Raw genomic sequence first — 21,894 nt, forward strand, 5'->3', positions numbered from 1 at the left:
AATATTGTCCTGGACAGTTCCTGGTGGACGTCTCAATGCAATAATGTGTTTACTCAGATCCTTACAGGAAGTTTAAGGTTAATCTTAAACTTTGTGTATGTATTTAGCTATATTACCAATCTCGATTTTAACTTCATAGGGTGTAGATTTATACATGAGGCTAGAAGTTAATTTAATGTGAAATTAATGAAGCTTAAGTTCAGGGCCTTTTAAAACTTGCATTAGGTGTCTTCCATGATCTTTTAACTTATTTTGTATGTGTAATTTTGTATTCTTTTTCTTAAAGAACCCTCCCCCCTCCCCCATCAGTGGTGTGAAATCCATGCCCTATGAAACCTGGATCCTTTCCTGCATGAGCCATCATACCAACATCTGACATCTCTCTAGTGACAGTCTAGGGTTAAATTTAGGGGTGAGAAAAATGAAGGAAGATAACTGCAGTTTTATATCAATAATTTTAGGATTTATTACTATTTAAAAATAGTTTATATTAGTTTGTGTTCTCTCTTAATATCTTAGAGGAGTCATTAGCTGGAAGTTCTTAGCTGGAATTGTGAAAATGAGTGTTTTGAAATACCTGTGAAGAAAATGAGAAGATGAAGTCTCAGTTTTTTTAACTGAAAAATAATTGTGTATATGTATGAGTACAAGATGATGTTTTGGTATATGTATACATTGTAGAAAGATTAAGTCAGGCTAATTGACATATGTGTCACCTCACCTACTTACTGTTTTTTTGTGGTGAAAACATTTAAAATCTCTTTCAGGAATTTTGAAATACACGCTGTTGTTAACTATGGTTACCATAGATCACTAAAACTTACTCCACCTGTCTATCTGAAACTTTGTACATTTTAACCAACATCTGCCATTTCTCCATACCCCTCAACCCCCAGCCTCTGGTAGCCACCTTCCTACTCTCTGTTCACAATGAGTTCAACTTTTTTAGATTCCATATATGAGTGAGATCAGATGGTATTTGTCTTTCTGTGCCTATCTTATTTCACTTACCATAATACTCTCCAGATCCTTTCATACTGTCACATATGACAGGATGTACTTCTTTTTAAAGGCTATATAGTATTCCGTTGTGTATGTATACCACTTTATCCATTCAGTGGACACTTAGATTGATTCCACGTCTTGCCTGTTGTGAACAGTGCTGCAGTGAACATGGGAGTGCACATATATCTCTTTGACACACTGATTTCAATTCCTTTGGATAAATACCAAGAAGTGGGATTGTTGGATCATATTAGTACTATTTTTAGTTTTTTTAAGAAACTTCCATACTATTTCTTTTTTTTTTCTTTTGAGACAGGGTCTCAATCTGTCACCCAGGCTGGAGTGCAGTGGTGCAATCTCAGCTCACTGCAACCTCTGCCTCCAAGGTTCAAGCAATTCTCTTGCCTCAGCCTCCCTAGTAGCTGGGATTATAGGCAAGCGCCCCCATGCCTGGCTAATTTTTGTATTTTTTTTAGTAGAGTCGGGGTTTTGCCATGTCGACCAGGCTGGTCTCAAACTCCTGACCTCAAGTAATCCACCTGCCTCGGCCTCCCAAAGTGCTGGGATTACCGGCATGAGCCACCATGCCTGGCCAGAAACTTCTATACTATTTCTAAAGGTAGCTATACTAGGAAGGCTGAATTTGTGAAGGGCAGCTGCTAGTTGATGACACAAGAGGAAGAAGTGGAGTGAAAGAGAGGAGAAAGGAACAGTTAGGGAGAAAATATTCTGAAGGTATGTTATAAAGACCAAAGGAAGGACTCTTTTGAATGAAGGTAATGAGAAGGTGGTTGACTTTGGCCACAGGAAAAAAAGCAACTGAATTTGCTTGTTGAGGGTGTTGTGATCTTCTAGCAGTTTTGTTACAGTTGTAGAGAAAAAAAAGGAAAGATGAAAAGCACAAAGGAGGGCATAGGCCATGAGAAGTAGCCACTGACTTGGCCACTCATTTAAAAAGTTTATAAGAGGAATGAGAAATGGAATAATTATAGAAGGCAACAGGATTGCTGTAATAGTTTCTATGAGGTAAGAAAGCGGAGCTGAGCACATACAACAGGTAGAGGGAAGTAGCCAGAAAAGTGGGGGAAATTGGATCCCAGGAAACAGGCTTGTTGTGAAACATACAGCAAAGAGGTGAGCATTAAACAGAGGGGAGAGGGCTGCATGCAGTGGCTCACGTCTGTAATCCCAGCACTTAGGGAGGCCGAGGAGGGAGAGTTGCTTGAGGCTAGGAGTTCCAGACTGTCTTAGGTAACAACAACAAAAAATTTTATTTATTTATTTATTTTGAGACAGAGTCTCACTCTGTTGCGCAGGCCGGAGTGCAGTGGCACAGTCTTGCCTCAGTGCTACCTCCATCTCCCAGGCTGAAATGATTCTCATGCCTCAGCCTCCCGAGTAACTGGGATTACAACCACATGCCACCACACCCCACTAATTTTTTTGTATTTTTAGTAGAACAGGGTTTCACCGTGATGGCCAGAGTGATCTTGAACTCCTGGCCTCAAGTGATCACCCACCTCGGCCTCCCAAAGTGCTGGGATTACAGGCATGAGCCACCGAGCCAGGGCAAAAAAAAATTTTTTTTTAGTCAGGTGTGGTGGTACCCTTATAGTCCCAGTTACTTGGGGGACTGAGGCAGAAGGATCACTTGAGCCCAGGAGTTTGAGATGGCAGTGAGCTATGATCATGCCAGTGTACTTCAGCCTGGGTGACAAAGGAAGACCCTATCTCAAAAAAAAAAAGGGAGATGGGGAGAAGTCTTCCTCTTAAAATGGAGTGACAAATGTTAAGGAAACAAAGGGAGAGTCACTTGAACTTGGGAGGTGGAGATTGCAGTGAGCTGAGATGGCTTCACTGCACTCCAGCCTGGGCGGCAGAGCGAGACTCCGTCTCAAAAACAAATGTGTATATATGAAAGAATATACACTGACGTGCTAAGGCAGGTGTCCTTTGGTGGTAGGATTTGGTGGTTTTTATTTTTTTATGACCTATGGTTTCTGATGTTTCAGCTGCGAGCAGGTCTTCTTGAGTCAAAGTTCTAGGCAGATAGATAATTTTTAATATGCCCGCTAGATGGAGCAGCAGTTACTGGGTAACTAGCACCTGTTGCACAGCTCTGGTAAAGATTGCAGTTTGAGTCAAGTTAAAGGAAAATCCTCTTCATTATTTTCCAGCCCCAATGTGGAGTGCAAAAGCATGAGGTTCGGCATGTTGAAGGACCATCAAGCTGTCACCGGCAACGTCACTGCGTTTGATGGATCTATTCTCTATCTGCCTGTTAAGCTTCAACAAGTGAGACCAAACAGGAAATGGACTTTGAGATGAACCCTAAGAGTGCTCTGGCGTTTTTTGTTTGGTTTTGCTTTTAAGAGATTGGGTCTTGCTATGTTGCCCAGACTGGTCTCGAATTCCCAAAGCCCTGGGACTACAGGCGTGTGAGCCACTTCACCTGGCCCAGGACTGGTGTTTTGAGGGGTAGGAAACCATAGAATTCCTGTATGTTCGAGTTGTGCTTTTCTGTTCATAGAGGGGAAGACAGATTTCTGCAGGACATCACAGCACATTTTAGGTTTGAATTCCTCAAGAAGCACCTTCTCACATGAGAGGAATGGTTGGAAGTCTGTGACCTCAGTGATAAAGAGTAACTTAAAATTGCAAATGTAGGCCGGGTGCGGTGGCTCACGCCTGTAATCCTAGTACTTTGGGAGGCTAAGTCAGGTGGATCACGAGGTCACGAGATTGAGACCATCCTGGCTAACACGGTGAAACCCTGTCTCTACTAAAAATAAAAAAAATTAGCTGGGCATGGTGGCAGGCGCCTGTAGTCCCAGCTACTCAGGAGGCTGAGGCAGGAGAATGGCGTCAACCCAGGAGGCGGAGCCTGCAGTGAGCCGAGATCACGCCACTGCACTCCAGCCTGGGTGACAGAGCGAGACTCTGTCTCCAAAAAAAAAAAAAAAAAAAATTGCAAATGTAAACTTGGTTGGAATTCTCTTACCAAATCATTTTTCTGAATCGTAGTTGTCATGCTGTGCTTTTGCTAGTGTGGGCAACAAAGTGAGGGGAAAAGTAGAAAAATGTTTTAAGATACTTTAGTGTTCTTAAGAACACAGTTGAATTAGATTAGGACTTGGTCATTAGTTCTTAGTTTTGTCATTTTGTTTCACCTGTGTGTATTTATTTGTTAGGTTCTTGAGTTAAAAAGTCAAAGGAAAACAGACAGTGCTGAAATCAGCATTAAGATTCAGATGACAAAGATCCTGGAGCCCTGCTCTGACCTGTGCATTCCCTTCTACAATGTTGTTTTCCGTCGGTAAGAAAACAGCTGAAGTTCTATTGTCCTGTAACTTCAGTCTTGTATTTACAGTAATGTTCTTCAAGATACTTGGATGGAAATACGTGACAGTATATTCTAGATGGGTTTGGAAGCATTTAATGAATAAATGGATGGTATTGAGGCTAACTTACTCAAAAATTATCTCACAAGTGGTAGACCAGATTTGAATATATGAAATTAGGTTTGGAGGTAGCTGGATAGGGGAACGGGTTCCTCCAGTTGTGTTCAGGAACTTTGAAAGCGGCTGTTGATAGTGCATATTTAATGGTGACGGTAACAAGGGGGCTACTTAAAGAGGTTGTGTGTAAAAATATTTGCTGGAAGGATTTTTCAGTGTCTTGAATTTTTGGATTACAGACAGCTCATAATTGTTTAACTTCTTTTGAAACATCCTAGTTTTCATACAGCCGCTATTCTCTTATTTAATGAAACACAACCTAATTTCTTTTCTTTTCTTTTTTCTTTTTTTTTTTTTTTTTGAGAGACGGAGTCTCGCTCTGTCGCCAGGCTGTAGTGCAGTGGCGCAATCCCGGCTCACTGCAACCTCCGACTCCCTGGTTCAAGTGATTGTCCTGCCTCAGTCTCCTGAGTAGCTGGGATTACAGGCATGCGCTGCCACGTCTGGCTAATTTTTGTATTTTTAATAGAGATGATGTTTCATCTTGTTGGCCAGGATGGTCTCGATCTTTTGACCTCGTGATCTGTCCACCTCAGCCTCCCAAAGTGCTGGGATTAGAGGCGTAAGCCACCGCGCCCGGCCCATGGAACCTAATTTCTACCTAGTAAGTTGAACTGCCAGGAGTAAACATAGCTCCCTTTGCCACACTGTTATTCACACACTTAGCAATGGGCTGTCTTGCATTCTTCGTAGTTAGTGGTGAAAAGTAACGTAATAAAACCTTGGAAACCAACTCAGTGTTTGGTCAGCTAGTAAGTGGAAAAGACTGCTGTCATTTTGCTTTGCTTTTTCAGTCAAATGCTTTGGCAGTTTTTGGTTTTCTTTTAACAAGATTGTTCTCAATATAAAAGCTGTCTTCTGCAAAGAGCACAAACATTTCTAACCGTTCAGACTTCCAAAGGCAAATGTAGCTAAGAATAATGGAACATAATTTTATTACTCTTCTATTAGAAAACTCATACTTGCTTTTTATTTCAGGGTAATGAAACTTTTAGATATGAAGCTTGTGGGGAGAAACTTTTATGACCCTACAAGTGCTATGGTACTACAGCAACACAGGTTGGTACTTTTTTCCCTTCCCTCACTTTTGAATGTTCTGGAAAGAAAGTTTCCATTACAACCATTGTATTTAGTACTATAATGTCAGCAGTAGTTTATGGTAGTGAATACAGTTTATCAATTAAATCTCTTCCTTAGTTTGGTTTTTCAGTAAGTTTGCAATAATGTCAATTAACTTAGTTTCTTGAGGCTTTCTCATTACTATTAGGGAAGGGCAGTATCACCTCAATGTTTTGTTCACATGGGGGCATGGAAGTATATGTGTTCTTTGAAAATCCTACAGTTGAGACCACCTCTCTCTCCAGATTGCAGATCTGGCCAGGCTATGCAGCTAGCATCCGAAGGACAGATGGAGGGCTCTTCCTGCTAGCTGATGTCTCCCATAAGGTCATTCGGAATGACTGTGTGCTGGATGTCATGTGAGTGAATGGTGGGGTCTATCTTTAACATGCTGATGATTTTCTGAAAAGTTCAGTAACAGCTGGTAATAACACACATTAGACATTGTTCTGTTTGTTTGTTTTTTCCCCCAGAGACAGGGTCTTGTTTTGTCACCCTGGCTGGAGTACAGTGGTTTGATCATAGCTCGCTGTAACCCTGAACTCCTGGGTTCAAGTGATCCTACCACCTCAGCCTTCTGAGTAGCCAGGACTACGGGTGTGCTACCATGCCCAGCCAATTTTTAATTTTTTTTTTTTTTTTTTTTTGTAGAGATAGGGTCTTGCTATGTTTCCCAGCCTGCTATGTTTCCTGGCTTCAAGGGATCCTCCTACCTCAGCCTCTCAAGGTGTTGAGATTATAGGCATGAGTCATGGCACCCAGCCCTGTTTAGATTTTTAGTTGTAGAATAACTGAACTGAATATATGTGCCCTCGTCTCTAGTCCTCCTGAGATAAGCATCTGAATAGACATCTGCTGTGCTTTGAGAAGGAGTTTTGTTTAAATTTGTGGTTAGGAGAACTTGGTTTGATATATGCGCATGCTGAGTTTGCATATAATAATATACAATGTATGTGTTACTGTAGTAAATACAGATGTGTATATATATTTTTTTTAATTGAGACAGAGTCTCACTCTATCACCCAGGCTGGAGTGCAGTGGTGCAATCTTGGCTCACTGCACCCTCTACCTCTTGGGTTCAAGTGATTCTCCTGCCTCAGCCTCCTGAGTAGCTGGAATTATAGGCGCCCGCCACCATGTCCGGCTAATTTTTTTTTCTTTTCTTTTCTTTTTTTTTTTCTGAGAGAGAGTCTCTCTCTGTTGCTTAGGCTGAAGTGCAGTAGTGTGATCTCAACTCACTGCAACCTCTGCCTCCTGGGTTGAAACAATTCTCTTGCTTCAGCCTCCCGAGTAGCCAGGACCACAGGTGCATGCCTCCATGTCTGGCTAATTTTTTGTATTTTAGTAGAGATAGGGTTTCACCATGTTTCCCAGGCTCGTCTTGAACTCCTGAGCTCAGGAGATCTGCCCGCCTCAGCCTCCCAAAGTGCTGGGATTACAGGCACAAGCCACCGTGCCCAGCCAGATGTGTATAATTTTTAGTGGTTGCATGAAATCTCATCTTACACATAAGTCTGTACATCTGATTTTTTTAGGCCATGTACTTGGAAGTAGAATTACTTAATGGAAGGGCTGAACATTCTAAATCCTTTTAATATATATCTAATATAATATGATAGTTAACTGTATCTTGACAAATTACCCTGTAGAAGATTTATTCAGTTTCTTTTCCCACCAGCTATGTACAACCACTGGGTGTTATCGGGCTTGTAAATCTTTGCTCCTCTGACCATTTCATTCATTGCTTCAGTGTATACTTACTGAGCTCCAGTTATGAACCAGAGTCTTAGGACCTATCAGATAGCAAAACAAAGATCCCTCCCCTCACAGAGCCTCTGTTGTTACCAGGGGAGATGAACAGTAAATAATAAATGTAATAAATAAATTGTATAGTGTAATAAAAGCGATAAGAGCCATGGAAAAAAGAAAAAGAGCACACGGTCAGGGCAATCAGAAGTAGTGGGGCAGGGGGCGGAGAATTGCAGTTTTAAGTGGAGTGGTCAAGCTCATTTGAGCAAACGCTTGAAAGAGGTAAGAGGTTAGCCAGGTGAAGGGAGAAGAAGCTTTTGGCATGTGGACAGCTCAGGCACAGACCTTAAGACAGAAACAGGCCTGGTGCAGGCACATGCAGGGTGGCTAGAGCCGAGTGAGCAAGCAGGGTGATGGAGGGGCAGAGCAAATGGAGGAGCTGATTACACAGGGCTTTGTAGGGCTTTTGTGAGGGTTTTAACTTTCACTGTGAGTGAAATGCAGGACTTTGAGCAGTGCACGGGCAAGACCCAACTTGGACTGTTGAAAGGATCCCTGTTGTTGCTGTGTGGAGAATAGACTTGGCTGACTGAGGATGGAAGTGGGAACACCAGTCAAGAGGCTGTGGTAATCCAGTGGAGCCATGAGGATGGTAGCGATGGAGGTGGTAAGGAGTCAGATTCTGGACATCTGTATTTTGAAAGTGGCACTTAAGTGGATTTCCTGAGTGCATGTGGGATAAGAGAAAGAGAAGCTGAAGATGCCTTGAACTTTTTTATAATTATTCTGTATCTCCTAGACTGTCAGCTCCTCTGGCAGAGGCCGTGTCTTTTTTGCTCACCCTGTACACTTAGACTTAATATAGGGCTTAGCACTGTCAAAGGACACAATTATTGGCTTTTATTTGGAGTTCATGAATTGGGTAACACCTTGAGGGTTCTGATGAGCTGAGCAGCGGAGGTTGGCTTTATAGACAGAAAAGGGCCAGAGAATCAGAAACAGAACAAAAAGGAGATTGGTCGTTTGTTACTTTCCTTGTAAAGGTTAAAGCAGAGGGGACATCTTTATCATACTAAAACTGGCCTGTTTGGGGATTTGGCTATTATGTGTCTCTCCTGATTTCTCAGAAAGTCAGATAAAGATCTTAGTTTCTATTTGGTGGCATGGAACTTCAGCATGAGTAACTCCATTTTTGGTTTGCTCTGTTGGGCCTAGTGCAGGAGCCCAGTCCAAGCCAATAGCCTCCTGTAAGTTTTATTTAATTGTACACAGTAAATGTTCAAGAATATTTATTAAATAAAAGTATATGTCTTCAAATCGGCTATTTCTTTTTTTGCAGTTTCTGCCTTTGCTTTTATATATTTATTTTTCTTGCATGTACTTTCAGTGAATGCCTTTGCTTTTCTGCTTAGAAAGGTCTGCTTGGCCAGGGATGGTCTGGTTCATGGCTATAATCCAGCGCTTTGGGAGGCCAAGGTGGGAGGACTGCTTGAGGCCAGGGGTTCAAGGCTGCAATGTGCTATGGTAGTGCTACTGTACTCCAGCCTAGGCAAGCAAGTGAGACCCTGTCTTCAAAAAAACAGAACTAGTTTTTATTTTCCTTTTTTTTTTGTCTTTTTTGAGATGGAGTTTCACTCCTGTTGCCCAGGCTGGAGTGCAATGACATGATGTTGGTTCACTGCAACCTCCACCTTCCGGGTTCAAGTGATTCTCCTGCCTCAGGCCTTCTGAGTAGTTGCCACCACACCTGGCTAATTTTTCTATTTTTAGTAGAGACAGGGTTTCGCCATGTTGGCCAGGCTGGTCTTGAACTCCTGCCGTCAGGTAATCCGCCTGCCTCAGCTTCCCAAAGTGCTGGGATTACAGGCATGAACCACCACGCCAGGCCTATTTTCAGTGTTTCAAACTCTATGGATTTACCTTGATATGAAGTTGGGATTATCATGGTTGTCTCTGTACTATTATACAATTATTGAAAAACATTCTTTTTTTCCACAGATTCAAATCACTGCCTTATATGCTAAAATACCTGGATTTATTTCTGAACTTTCAGTTTGAGCTATTGGTCCAAACTAATGTGATTCTATCTAAAATACTGTACTTTTTTTGGTTTTTGATATTTGTCAGAATTTTATTTTCAGAATTTTCATGGTGAATGTCACCCACATACTCTTTCATTTGATCCTTTGAATAATTTAGTGAAAATAAGAAAAAAGTTGTTTAGCATTTTGATGGGCATTGACTAGGGAGAATGTTCACTTAGTCTTCCTGTTGAAAAATATGGCATGTCTTTCCATTTATTGAAATTTATTTTGTTTTGGCCAGATGCGGTGGCTCACCTCTGTAATCCTGACATTTTGGGAGGCCGAGGCGGGAGGATCAGTTGAGGTCAGCAGTTCAAGACCAGCCTGGCCAACATGGTGAAACCCTGTCTCTGCTAAAAATACAAAAATTAGCCAGGCGTGGTGGCACACGCCTGTAATTCCAGCTACTTAGGAGGCGGAGGCACGAGAATCGCTTGAACCCGGGAGGCAGAGGTTGCAGTGAGCCAAGATCATGCCATTACACTCCAGCCTGGGTGACGGAGTGAGACTGTCTTTAAAAAAAAAAAAAAAAAAAAAAGGTCCGAGCGTGGTGGCTCACGCCTGTAATCCCAACACTTTGGGAGGCCGAGGCGGGCAGATCATGAAGTCAGGCGATCGAGACCATCCTGGCCAACACGGTGAAACCCCGTCTCTACTAAAAATACAAAAAATTAGCCGGGCGTGATGGCGGGCACCTGTAGTCCCAGCTACTCAGGAGGATGAGGCAGGAGATTGGCGTGAACCCAGGAGGCGGAGCTTGCAGTGAGCCGAGATTGTGCCAGTGCACTCCAGCCTGGGCGACAGAGTGAGCAAGACTCTGTCTCAAAAAAAAAAAAAAAAAAAAAAAAGAAAAACATCAGTTGGCATTTTGATGGTCATTGACTAGGGAGACTGTTCAATGAGTCCTATTGAAAAATATGGCATGTCTTTCCATATTTATTGAAATGTATTTTGTTTTGGCCAGGCACAGTGGCTCATGCCTGTCATCCCAGGACTTTGGGAGGCCGAGGCAGGCGGATCACTTGAGGTCAGGAAGTTGAGACCAGTCTAGCCAACATGGTGAAATCCCATCTTTACTGGAAAAAAAAAAAAAAAAAAAAAAAAAAAAATTAACTGGGCGTGGTGGCGCAGGGCTGTAGTCCCAGCTACTCCAGAGGCTGAGGCAGGAGAATGGCTTGAACCTGGGAGGTGGAGGTTGCAGTGAGCCGAGATCGTGCCAGTGTACTCTAGCCTGGGCAACAGAGCGAGACTTCGTCTGGGGGAAAAAAAAAATATTTTTATTTTCTCCACAGTTATCTTGGATTTTTTTTTGTTAAAAAAATTCATTCCTTTCTTTCCTTCCTTCTTTCCTCCTTTCTTCGAGACAAGGTCTCATTTCATGGCCCAGACTGAAGTGCAGTGGCTATTCACAGGCATGATCATTGCTCACTGCAGCCTTGAATTCTTGGGCTCAAGTGATCTTTCTGCCTCAGCTTCCTGAGTAACTGGGGCTACAGGCTTGTGCCACTATGCTCAGCTTTTTTTTTTCTAAGTACGTAATTTTATATGTACTTACCACTAATTTAAGCTCAAATTCACACCGAGTTGTGTAATCCCTTCACTATACATTGAAAACACTAGGTATTTTGTCAGTTTCATTCCCCTCCCGTCCAAATACCACATTTTTGGGGTGATCTAGATCTAGCTTTGAGAACCTCTTCTCCAAGATAGTGAGAAGGCCTGTGTCAGGCATTACCCCGTTATGTCACACATGGACCCTCTCAGTGTAGCTGCTCAGCCCCGAGAGCATGTCCATGTCTGTCAGGGAGCTCTGCAGGCTGTCCTCCCTTGTCCCCTGCAGCTGTTACTGGCTTGGTGTTCTACCACCTTCGTTCCCTGTTCTTATGGATCACTGGAAACCACAGAAGAGCATTTATTTTCCTGGAGGTGAGAAGAGCTCGGTGTTTAAAAATGTAACAGCTTTTCTTTTCATCACCCAGGAATGGTTTGCATACTTCTAAAGGGTAGTAAGTCAACTAAGGTTTACAAAATAAGGTTACTTTCTTACGTCACTTGTAAGTTCTCAATTGATTTAATGAGCCATTCCTACTGAATTCAATACCATCTTAGAAATGTCTGTTAGAATCTGATCGGCTTCAGTTCGGCTGGTTGCTCTCCCGGCTGGCTGAACCATCACTGTCTTGGGGTTCCTCTTCCCTTCTTTTTTTTTTTTTTTTTTTTTTTTTTTTTTTTTTTTTTGTTGTTGTTGTTGTTGAGATGGAGTCTTGCTCTGTTGCCCAGGCTAGAGTGCAGTGGTGCGATCTCGGCTCACTGCAACTTCCACCTCCCAGGTTCAAGCAATTCTCCTGCCTCAGCCTCCTGAGTAGCTGGGACTACAGGCGTGCGCCACCACGCCCAGCTAATTTTTGTAGAGACAGGGTCTCACCACATTGATGAGGACGGTCTCGATCTCTTGACCTTGTGATCCACCTGCCTCAGTCTCCCAAAGTGCTGGGATTACAGGCATGAGCCACCGCGCCTGGCCCCCTCTTCCCTTCTTAAGGGGAATCTCCTGTATGTCAGATCTCATAACTGCTGCTTTCTTGATTTATTCCCTTGTTTTAGTGTAGCATATATACTCCAGTATTTTCCAGAAGAAGTATGCATTGGAGGAAATTATTTTCAGACCTTACATGTTTGAAAAATGTCTTTAGCTTACAAAGTAGTTGTCTAGTTTGATTGGGTGTATAACTCTAGGTTATAAATCTAGTTTGGAGATACTTTACCCTGAGAATTTTGAAGGCACTACTCCATCGTCCTTGCTTTTAGATTTACTGTTGAAAGATCTAAAGCTGTTTTAATTTCTGATTCCAGAATCTTTGTATGTCTCTCCTCACCCTGTCCTGCCCCTTTGGGAGCTTTGGGAGTTTTTCTTTACTGTTGTCTTCTGAAATTTTATTTGTTCTTTATTCCTTCCTGCATCCCTCACTATTCTATATGAGATTATTTTCCCTTTGCCTGAAGAACTGCTTGTAATATGTCCTTTAGTGTGGACTCTGCTGGTGACAAATTCTTTTAATTTTTATCTAAAAATGTTTTCCAACTTGCCTTTAACTTAAAATTCTGGATTTGGCAGTTATTTTCTTTTCGCCCTTTGAGAAATATTTTCTGGCTTACATTCTTTCCTTTTTTTTTTATTTTTATTTTTTGATGGAATCTCACTTGGTTACCCCAGTTGGAGTACAGTGGCACGATCACAACTCACTGCAGCCTCAAACTCCTGGGCTCAAGCAATCCTCCCACCTCAGTCTCCCAAGTAGCTGGGACTACAGGGATGCACCATCACACCTGGCTAATGTTTTAATTTTTTCATAAAGGCAGGGTCTCACTGTGTTGCCAAGGCTGGTCTCGAACTCCTGGGCTCAAGTGATTCTCCTACCTCAGCCTCCGAAAGTGCTGGTGTGAGGCACTGTGCCCAGCCTATTTTATTTTTATTTTTGTAGAGATGCAGTTTGACTGTGTTGCCAAGGCTGACCTCGAAATCCTGGCCTTAAGTTATCCTCCTTCTACATCGGCCCCCTAAAGTGCTAGGATTACAGGTGTGAGCTATTGCACCTGGCCCTTGGTTTACATTGTTCCTGTTGACAAATCAATCACCAGTGATACTGTTATCTTTTTAATTTTTTTTTATTTTTGTCTTTGGCTTTCGAAGTTTTACTGTAATGCATCTAGTTGTGATTTCTGTTAAAAAAAAATTCATGGCACTTGTTAAAGAATGATAAGGCAGACTTTATTCAGAACCAGTGCAATGGGCACAAGGACCCCTGCAGTGGGGATTTACAGTATGGGAGAGAGATTGGGCTCAACTCAGAATACAACAAGGAAAAGTGGGAATTTATAGTCTAGGAGAAGGATCGGGGTCAGTGGATGAAAAATTACTGATAGGAACCATTTGGAGTCAGGGGGTTTCACCAAATTTTTACAGTTGGGTTGCTGGTCTAATGGGCCTCCAACCATAGGCTCTCAGGAAAGGCCTAAATTGGTATGAAGCCTTATCTGGCTTCTAAAGAGCACTGTTTTCTATGTTGAGCAGAAAAGACAGTCCGGAACAAACAAAAATGCCTTATATGTATAGACAGCAGTAAAAGCAAAGCAAGCAAATGAAAAACAGAATTGACTGGGTGCAGTGACTCATGCTGATAATCCCAGCATTTTGGAAGGCTGAGGAGGGTGGATTGGTTGAGCCCAAGAGTTCGAAACCAGCCTGGGCAACATGGCAAAATCCTGTCTCTACAAAAAATACAAAAATTAGCTGGGCATGGCGGCACACATCTGTTATCCCAGCTACTCGGGAGGCCGAGGTGGGAGAATCATCTGAGCTGGAATGTCAAGGCTGCAGTGAGTGTGAGCCATAATCGCACCACTGCACTCCAGCCTGGCCAATGGAGTGAGACCCTATTTAAAAAAAAAAAAGGATAATGGCAAAAATATTTTCAAATGATATACTTTCAAAACAAAAAGGCTAATGACCTCACACAAAGATCTAGGTCTGATTATATGCTGGAGGCTGTACTTCTAAACCAAAAGGTCTATTTTACGTAAGGAAGTAAGGCTGATTGGCTTACATAAAGACCTAAGGCTAATGACAAAGGCCTGTTTGATTATAAATATTGGGATTCAGCAACTAGAGCTTAATGAAACTAGTCACACCTCAGATGGTTGTTGGGATTGACTCACTTGACAGCAGATCTGAAGAACAAAGAGTTAAACACAAGGGCCCAGTGAGTGGATTGTTGGTCTGAGAATCTGTGGAATGTTGCCTGGGAAGTTTTCAAAATTATCTTGGTTGGACCTTCAGAATTGTCAGAGGATGGTGAGACCTCTGTTCTATCGGAAATAAAAATAAAGCTGAATTTCTTGCTTACTGCAGTTAGAGACTATTGGTCTTCTATAGAATATTTGAGAAGAGTATAGTTCAGGGATTGCAGACTTGCAGATGGACAAGTAGGTCAGCATCTTCTGAGGAAGGGTGGTTACTCAGGCGAGACTCTTGTGAGTTGATTTGCCCTGAGAGGTATGCGTATTGGATTAAGTCATCAGTGATTGGCTGGCTTATAGAAACAAGGGGATGACGTTGATTAGTTGGCTTGCAAAAGTGTGTTTGCTGAATAAATTGATGTAGATTGATTTAACAGGCTTAAAACCCATTCTTATGGCTACTTATTACTATGGTGACAGAGTAATCCATCTTTTCCAGTTTGTGGGAATTTTATTTTATTCTCAGGAGTATATGAATATTTGTTTTCATTTAGTTTTATGGTTTAGTTTCTTAGATATTAATCTTAAATTCATAAAGAATTTTCTAAAATTGGCTAGCAAGCTAACCTGTTTTTTTAATGATCTTTTTTCTTTTTTTTCTTTTTTTTTTGAGATGGAATTTCACTCTTGTTGCCCAGGCTGGAGTGCAATGGCGTGATCTTGGCTCACTGCAACCTCCGCCTCCTGGGTTCAAGCGATTCTCCTGCCTCAGCCTCCTGAGTAGCTGGGATTACAGGCATGTGCCACCACACCTGGCTAACTGTATTTTTAGTAGAGACAGGGTTTCTCCATGGTGGTCAGACTGGTCTTGAACTCCTGACCTCAGGTGATCCACGCACCTCGGCTTCCCAAAGTGCTGGGATTGCAAGCGTGAGCCACCGCGCCCAGTCAATGATCTTTTTTCTTACAAATTTGAAATACCACCTTATTCTACACTCAGTATTAATCTGTTTGAGTCTATTTCCAGATCTTTTATTCTGTTCCATTAATTTCTTTTTTTCAGATGTGTAAAGGTACAATTGACATCCGTAAAAAACCCACACACATTTAAAGTATACAGTTTGATGAGTTTTGATATATGGATATATATTTGATATATTTCACCTGTGAAACGTTACAGTGAAGAAAATAGACATGGCCATTGCCCCAAAATGTTCTCAGGTCTCTCTGAAGCCTCTTCCCACTTCTGTTCCTCCTCTGCACGCCATGGGCAGCAAATGCTGGTCAGCCTTCTGTCACTAGAGATTTTTCTGCATTTTCTAGAATTTTATATACATGGAATCGCTATGTTCTTGTTCTTTTTTATTGTATTTATTTTATTATTTTTTTTTTGGGTGGGGGGAACAGAATCTCTCCCTGTCACCCAGGCTGGAGTGCAATGGTGCGATCTCAGCTCGCTGCAACCTCCATCTCCCGGGTTCAGGTGATTCTCCTGCCTAGCTGGGATTACAGGTGCCTGCCACCACGCCCAGCTATATAAAAACATTTTTTTTAATAGAGATGGGACCTCACTATGTTGCCCAGGCCGGTCTTGAACTCCTGGGCCCAAGCAGTTCTCCTACCTAGCCTCAGCCTCCCAAAGTGCTGGGATTATAGGCATAAGGGGGGCGAGGAAGAAGACCCACCCAGCAGCCCACCCACCCACCTGCCTGCCTGCTATTGTTTTTTGGTTGGCTTCTTTCACTTAGCGTTATTTTGAAATCATTCACATTGTTGTATGTTGCAAATGTTCATTCCTTTTAATTACTGGGTAGTGTTCCATTTTGTGGCTCTACCACAATTTATTCACCCATTGTTTCTCCAGGTTCTTTCCAGCTTTTGGCTGTTACAAATAAAGTTGCTATAAATATTAGTGTACAAGTCTTTGTGTGGACTTATACTTTCATTTGTCTTGGTTAGTAGATACCTGGGAGCGGAATGGCGAGTCATATGGTAGGTGTGTGTTTAATTTTATAAGAAAGTCTTTCCCAAAGTGTCTGTACTGTTTTACATTCCCACTAGCAGTGCCTGAGAATTCAGATTGTTCCACATTCTCACGAATACTTGGTGTAGTCAGTCTTAATTTTAGAAATTTTAACCAGTGTACAGTGGTATCGAATTGTGGTTTTGATTTACATTTTCCTAGTGAATAATGATGTAGAGCATCTTTTCCTGTGTGTACTTCCCATTCATTTGTCTGCTTTGGTGAGGTATCTGTTCATATCTTTTGCCTATTTTAAATATTTGGGTTGTTGTTTTTACTGAGTTGTGCAGTAATTCATTACATATAAGAAGTACAGATACTTTATCAGGTGAATGATATGCACGTATCATATGATATATGCATATTTTCTTCCATTTTGTAGCTTGTCTTTGCATTTTTCTTAAAGGTGACTTTTTTTTTTTGAGACAGAGTCTTGCTCTGTTGGCTGGAGCGCAGAGGTGCAGTCACATCTCACTGCAGCCTTGGCCTCCAGGACTCAAGCAGTCCTCTCACCTCACCCTCCTGAGTAGCTGTGACTACAGGCATGCACCACCATGCCCAGCTAATTAAAAAAAATTTTTTTTGTAGAGATAGAGTTTCACCACGTTGCCCAGGCTGTTCTTGAACTCCTGGGCTCAAGTGATCCTCCTAAAGTGCCGGGATTACAGATGTGAGCCATCACACCCGGCCAGTGGTCCCTTTTATTTGTTTTTTATTCTTTTATTATTTATTTTTTGAGACAGCGTATCGCTCTTTCACCCAGGATGGAGTGCAGTGGCGCCATCTCAGCTCACGGTAGCCTCTGCCTCCTGGGCTGATTCTCATGCCTTGGCCTCCTGAGTAGCTGGGACTACAGGCATGCGCCACCACACACCTGGCTGTTTTGTACTTTTAGTAGAGATGGGGTTTCACCATGTTGCCCAGGCTTGTCTCTAAATCCTGAGCTCAAGTGATCCCCCCGCCTCAGCCTCCCAAAGTGCTGGGATTACAGGCATGAGCCACCATGCCCGGCCCAGTGGTCTCTTTTAAGGAGTAGACATTTTTAATTCTGATGAAGTAGAATTTATACTTTTTCTTTCATAGGTTTTGGTTTTGTTGTCATATCCAAGAAATCATTGCCTAACTCGAGGTCGCAAAGATTTTCTGTTTTTTTTTTTAGGTTTATAGTTTTGACTCATATTTAGATCTGCGATCCATTTTGAGTTAACTTTTACAGGTGATGTCAGGTAACGGTCTGAGTTCCTTTTGTTACATGTTTAAGTATCATAGCACTGTTTCTTGAAAAGATTGTCCTTCCCTACTGATTTACCTTGACACCTTTGTCAGTTATTATTTGATCATAAATGTGTAGGTTCTGTGTTTCATTCTCATGTAATTTAAGGCACAAATGTCCCTCTGAGCACTGCATTAGCTACAGTCCCTGATTTTTTTATTGTCTGATTTTTCATTTTCCTTCAGTTCAAGATATTTTCTCATTTCTCTTGTGCTTTCTTCTTTGATCTGTGGGTTATTTAGAGTGTATTATAATTTTCAAATATTTGGAGATTTCTTATTTTTCTTTCTGTTTAATACATTTTGGCAAGTCTAGATGGTTTATTTTTCTGATTTTTCTTTTTTTTTGAGATGGGGTCTCGCTCTGTCACCAGGCTAAAGTGCAGTGGCGCGATCTTGGCTCACTGCAATCACTGCTTCCCGGGTTCAAGTGATTCTCCTGTCTCAGCCTTCTGAGTAGCTGGGACTACAGGCGCGCACCCCCACGCCCAGTTAATTTTTGTATTTTTAGTAGAAATGGGTTTCATCATGTTGGCCAGGATGGTCTCGATCTCTTGACATCATGATCCGCCCACCTCGGCCTCCCAAAGTGCTGGGATTACAGGTGTGAGCTACTGCGCCCAGCCTATTTTTCTGATTTCTTTTTTTAAACTAACCTATCCATATTGAGACTAAAGACTCTGTTATTTCTGTGGCGTGCGGCTGCTGATGTCTTTGCTCGGTTTTTCCTTATTATCATTTTTTAACCTGGCTTCCTAGTGATCACCCCCTTGTCTGTAGAGCTTAGTCATTCGGATAATGATTTGGAGAGCAGTTATACTCAAACCCCATGACTCCATAAGGCTTCCATCTCTGCTAATGGATTTGTGTGTAGATTGAAGAATGCTTTCAAAATTAAATGTAGTTCTCCCATCTTTTTTGGCTTTTAACTCTCAGCTGAGATTTCTTGGCTCTCTTCTAAGCATAGATGGTTTCCCAGTCAGCCAAGGATGTGTGGCCTTCTATGGCTTTCTGATTACCAGGATTTAGCCCTTAAATTTCTAGTTGATGCACTGCCCACCTCAACTTAGACAACAAATCTAGGCTAACAGAACTTTGCTTTTCTCCATTGCCACTTGTAGTTGGCTTGCCATGGGTTCCCATCCCTACCCCTAGATTAAGTTTTCTCTATCTCAAAAGGTTGTACACTTTTTGGTTCTATTTCTGTAGGAGTCTCAAAATGACAAAGCTAGAGAATAGACTGGTAGTTACCAGATCTAGGGAAGGAGGGGGAGTGTGAATATAAAGGGCAGCAGGAAATAGTCCCTTGGTGGTGACATGCAACAGTTTGGTATCTGATTGTGGTAACCTATAGATGTGAGGAAACTGTATACACATACAAACACACCAGTGTATGTAAGTAACAATGAAAATGGAGTAAGATCTGTAGTCTAGTTAATGATATTATAGCAATGGCAGTTTTGTACATGAGACTCTATGTCCACATTTTGCAACTTTCTATGATTTGATGAGTATTTCAAAGTACGAAATTTTAAACAATTAATTTTAATTAATTTAGGGACAGGGCCTTACTTTGTCACCCAGGATGGAGTGCAGTGATGCTATCATAGCTCACTGTAGCCTCAAACTCCTGGGTTCAAGCCGTCTTCCCACCTCCCTCAGTCTCTGGAGTATCTGGGACTACAAGGTACGCCACTACACCTGGCTAATTTTTTAAGTTTTTTAGAGATGGGGTCTCGCCATGTTGCCCAGGCTGATGTCAATATCCTGGGCTCAAGCAATCCTCCCACCTTAGCCTCTCGAATAGCTGGGACTACAACTGTGAGCCATCATGCCTGGTAGGCCTATATTCTCTTATTTCCTGCAGTTCAGGCCCTCTTAAGCTTTTTCCTTTTTTTTCCCCCACCAAGGAAATAAGGTATCACTATGTTGCCCAGGCTGGTCTCCAACTTCTGGGTTCAAGCAGTCCTCCTGCCTCTGCCTCCTAAAATGCTGGGATTACAAGCGTGAGCCACTGCATCTGGCCAAGAGTCCCATCTTTTAACACAACTGGAGCCTTCTGGTGCTATATAGCTGTGATTAGATTCCTCAATTACTTGATCCCCTATCCCTTTCATACTGTTCTGGATATATACTGTGATCCAAAAGTCTTTTATCTCTTTCCAAAGGCATGCCATTTATCAGCAGAATAAAGAACACTTCCAGGATGAGTGTACTAAGCTTCTGGTTGGCAATATTGTTATCACCCGATATAACAATCGTACCTATCGTATTGATGATGTGGATTGGAATAAGACTCCAAAGGATAGCTTCACGATGTCTGATGGGAAAGAGATCACATTCTTGGAATACTACAGGTAGCAAGAAGAGACTGGGTTTGGGCCTCAGGGTGGGGGTTGGATGTAGTCCACGTTCTCCAGCAGATATTGAGTTCTGCAATAGCATACCACTTGACACTTTTCAAAATAATTGAATTGGTAATGTGTCTAACACTGAATGAGCTTGTTTGTGGGATTTGACTTGAGTATGCTACCATTATATCTTCAATTATTTTAGTAATTTGGAAGTTACTATATAAATTAAGGGCTTTGAATTGTTTTTCTGATTTTATTAGAAGTCTGGAGAGATTAAATTCAAGTCATTAATCATTTGACTGTCATTTCATGTTTCTATTGCCTGAACCCTTTAGCCTGATGTTTTTAACAAAGTCTTTCTTGAACTTTTAGCCTTATTTCTCCTATATTTAATTGCAACATAATTTGAGCCTGCTTTTTCCTGTTATAAATATATTATGATCGGTTTGCAGTGGCTCCTTGACAAGAGTATTATGCAAATTATATACCTCAGTCCTGGTTAAGAGACTCAGACTATGGTGCTCTAAGAGTATTGATGCTGCTTCTGAAATTTTTTCCTGCCTCTACTCTGCTCTAGCAAAAATTATGGGATCACAGTTAAGGAAGAGGACCAGCCATTGCTGATTCACAGGCCCAGTGAGAGACAGGATAATCATGGGATGGTGAGTAGGGCTGTCAGGCTTACAATTCCAGCTTAAGTTCTTCATCCTGTCAGCTGCTTTTAGCCGTCCTCATGGCTTTGTGGGAGCTGTGGAGTAGCAATCGTAGTGTAGTTGCGGAAAGCTGTGCAAGTGTTTGTCTGTCTCATCCAGCCAGAGGCACCACTCACACTGGTAAGATCTGCTTTAGAAGTCCCCACGAGGCGGAACTAAATATCCACATAAGCTATTAGGTTAAAGAGTTAAGGAGAATTTCCAGTGAAGGAAGATTAAAACTCTGAATCCATGAGGAAAGGTATAGATATTCATTTATTTATTTATTTATTTATTTATTTATTTATTTATTTGACGGAGTCTGGCTCTGTCACCCAGGCTGTAGTGCAGCAGCGCAATCTCAGCTCACTGCAAGCTCCGCCTCCCGGGTTCACATCATTCTCCTGCCTCAGCCTCCTGAGTAGCTGGGACTACAGGAGCCCGCCACCACCCCCGGCTAATTTTTTGTATTTTTAATAGAGACGGGGTTTCACCGTGTTAGCCAGGATAGTCTCGATCTCCTGACCTCGTGATTTGCCCGCCTCGGCCTCCTAAAGTGCTGGGATTACAGGCGTGAGCCACTGCGCCTGGCCTAGACATTTACTTTAACAGGGCCAGAGGCTTAAGGAAGGTACCTTGTTACCTGACTCCTCTGTCTTAAATGTGAAGATTGAAGACCAGTAGGATACAGTGAGACTGAGGCACACTGCTTAGCAATAGGAGGCATTGTCTTAACCATTGTCTTGAGGCCCAAGAGGGACAGATTTTTTTTTTTCTAGTTTTTACTCTCCTTTGACAGTTTTAGTATTTTTCCTTTGACCTAATACAACAGGCTGTATGTACAGTGACTGAGGGAGAAAGGTTAAAATACTTCTAGCATTTCACTGCTCTCTCCTCCAGGATTTTATACTCCTTAGTGCGCAAGGTATATCACTGCAGGAGCAGCCCTGGCCATGACATGTCCTGTATGGTCGGGAACATGAGCCTCTTGTACTGCCTTATTTTCCCTCTTCGTTCTCTCTTCAAAGCTGCTAAAAGGGGAAATCCTGCTGCTGCCTGAGCTTTCTTTTATGACCGGAATCCCAGAGAAGATGAAGAAGGACTTCAGAGCCATGAAGGTTGGAGTCCTGTGTTTTCAGCCGGAAATGCCCACTTTGTGAGGCAGCCTTTTGGTTAACAGTTTGAGTTAGAACCGAGCCACGTTCCAACTCTGATGTTGGCTTGCATTGTAACCTGGGCCTGTCCATTCTTCCAGCCTCCAGTTTTCTCCTCTGTAAAACATGATCCATGTCCCTTCCCACACACGATGTGAAAAAGCATATCAGAACTTCCTTTTGAAGG

The 21,894-nt window shown here is 42.2% G+C and overlaps 1 protein-coding gene across 6 annotated transcripts in view, besides 2 other annotated features; it reads left to right on the forward strand.

Moving 5' to 3' along the window:
• PIWIL2 (piwi like RNA-mediated gene silencing 2) overlaps nucleotides 1-21,894 on the forward strand; it is an 82,253-nt gene that overhangs the window by 9,030 nt on the left and 51,329 nt on the right. For all 6 annotated transcript variants that reach the window (NM_018068.5, NM_001330480.2, XM_005273551.5 and 3 more), the window contains exons 7-13: nucleotides 3,183-3,300; nucleotides 4,197-4,321; nucleotides 5,502-5,582; nucleotides 5,888-6,001; nucleotides 19,676-19,864; nucleotides 20,439-20,523; nucleotides 21,582-21,671. In NM_018068.5, coding sequence (NP_060538.2) covers nucleotides 3,183-3,300; nucleotides 4,197-4,321; nucleotides 5,502-5,582; nucleotides 5,888-6,001; nucleotides 19,676-19,864; nucleotides 20,439-20,523; nucleotides 21,582-21,671 — 802 coding nt within the window. The remainder of the gene's footprint in view (nucleotides 1-3,182; nucleotides 3,301-4,196; nucleotides 4,322-5,501; nucleotides 5,583-5,887; nucleotides 6,002-19,675; nucleotides 19,865-20,438; nucleotides 20,524-21,581; nucleotides 21,672-21,894) is intronic.
• Nucleotides 7,358-7,527: an enhancer, noted in NCBI's record as "experimental_102848 CRE fragment used in MPRA reporter constructs". NCBI's record gives its function as "activates a minimal promoter by MPRAs in K562 erythroleukemia cells, with activity observed for both the introgressed and non-introgressed 8:22149301 variant alleles {active_cell/tissue: K562}" and the evidence as "EXISTENCE:reporter gene assay evidence [ECO:0000049][PMID:34662402]".
• Nucleotides 7,691-7,985: a silencer, noted in NCBI's record as "tiled region #10265; K562 Repressive non-DNase unmatched - State 7:EnhWF". NCBI's record gives its function as "represses a minimal TATA promoter and a strong SV40 promoter by Sharpr-MPRA in K562 cells {active_cell/tissue: K562}" and the evidence as "EXISTENCE:reporter gene assay evidence [ECO:0000049][PMID:27701403]".

The sequence above is a fragment of the Homo sapiens genome, chromosome 8, assembly GCF_000001405.40.
Source record: "Homo sapiens chromosome 8, GRCh38.p14 Primary Assembly".
Lineage (NCBI taxonomy): Eukaryota > Metazoa > Chordata > Mammalia > Primates > Hominidae > Homo > Homo sapiens.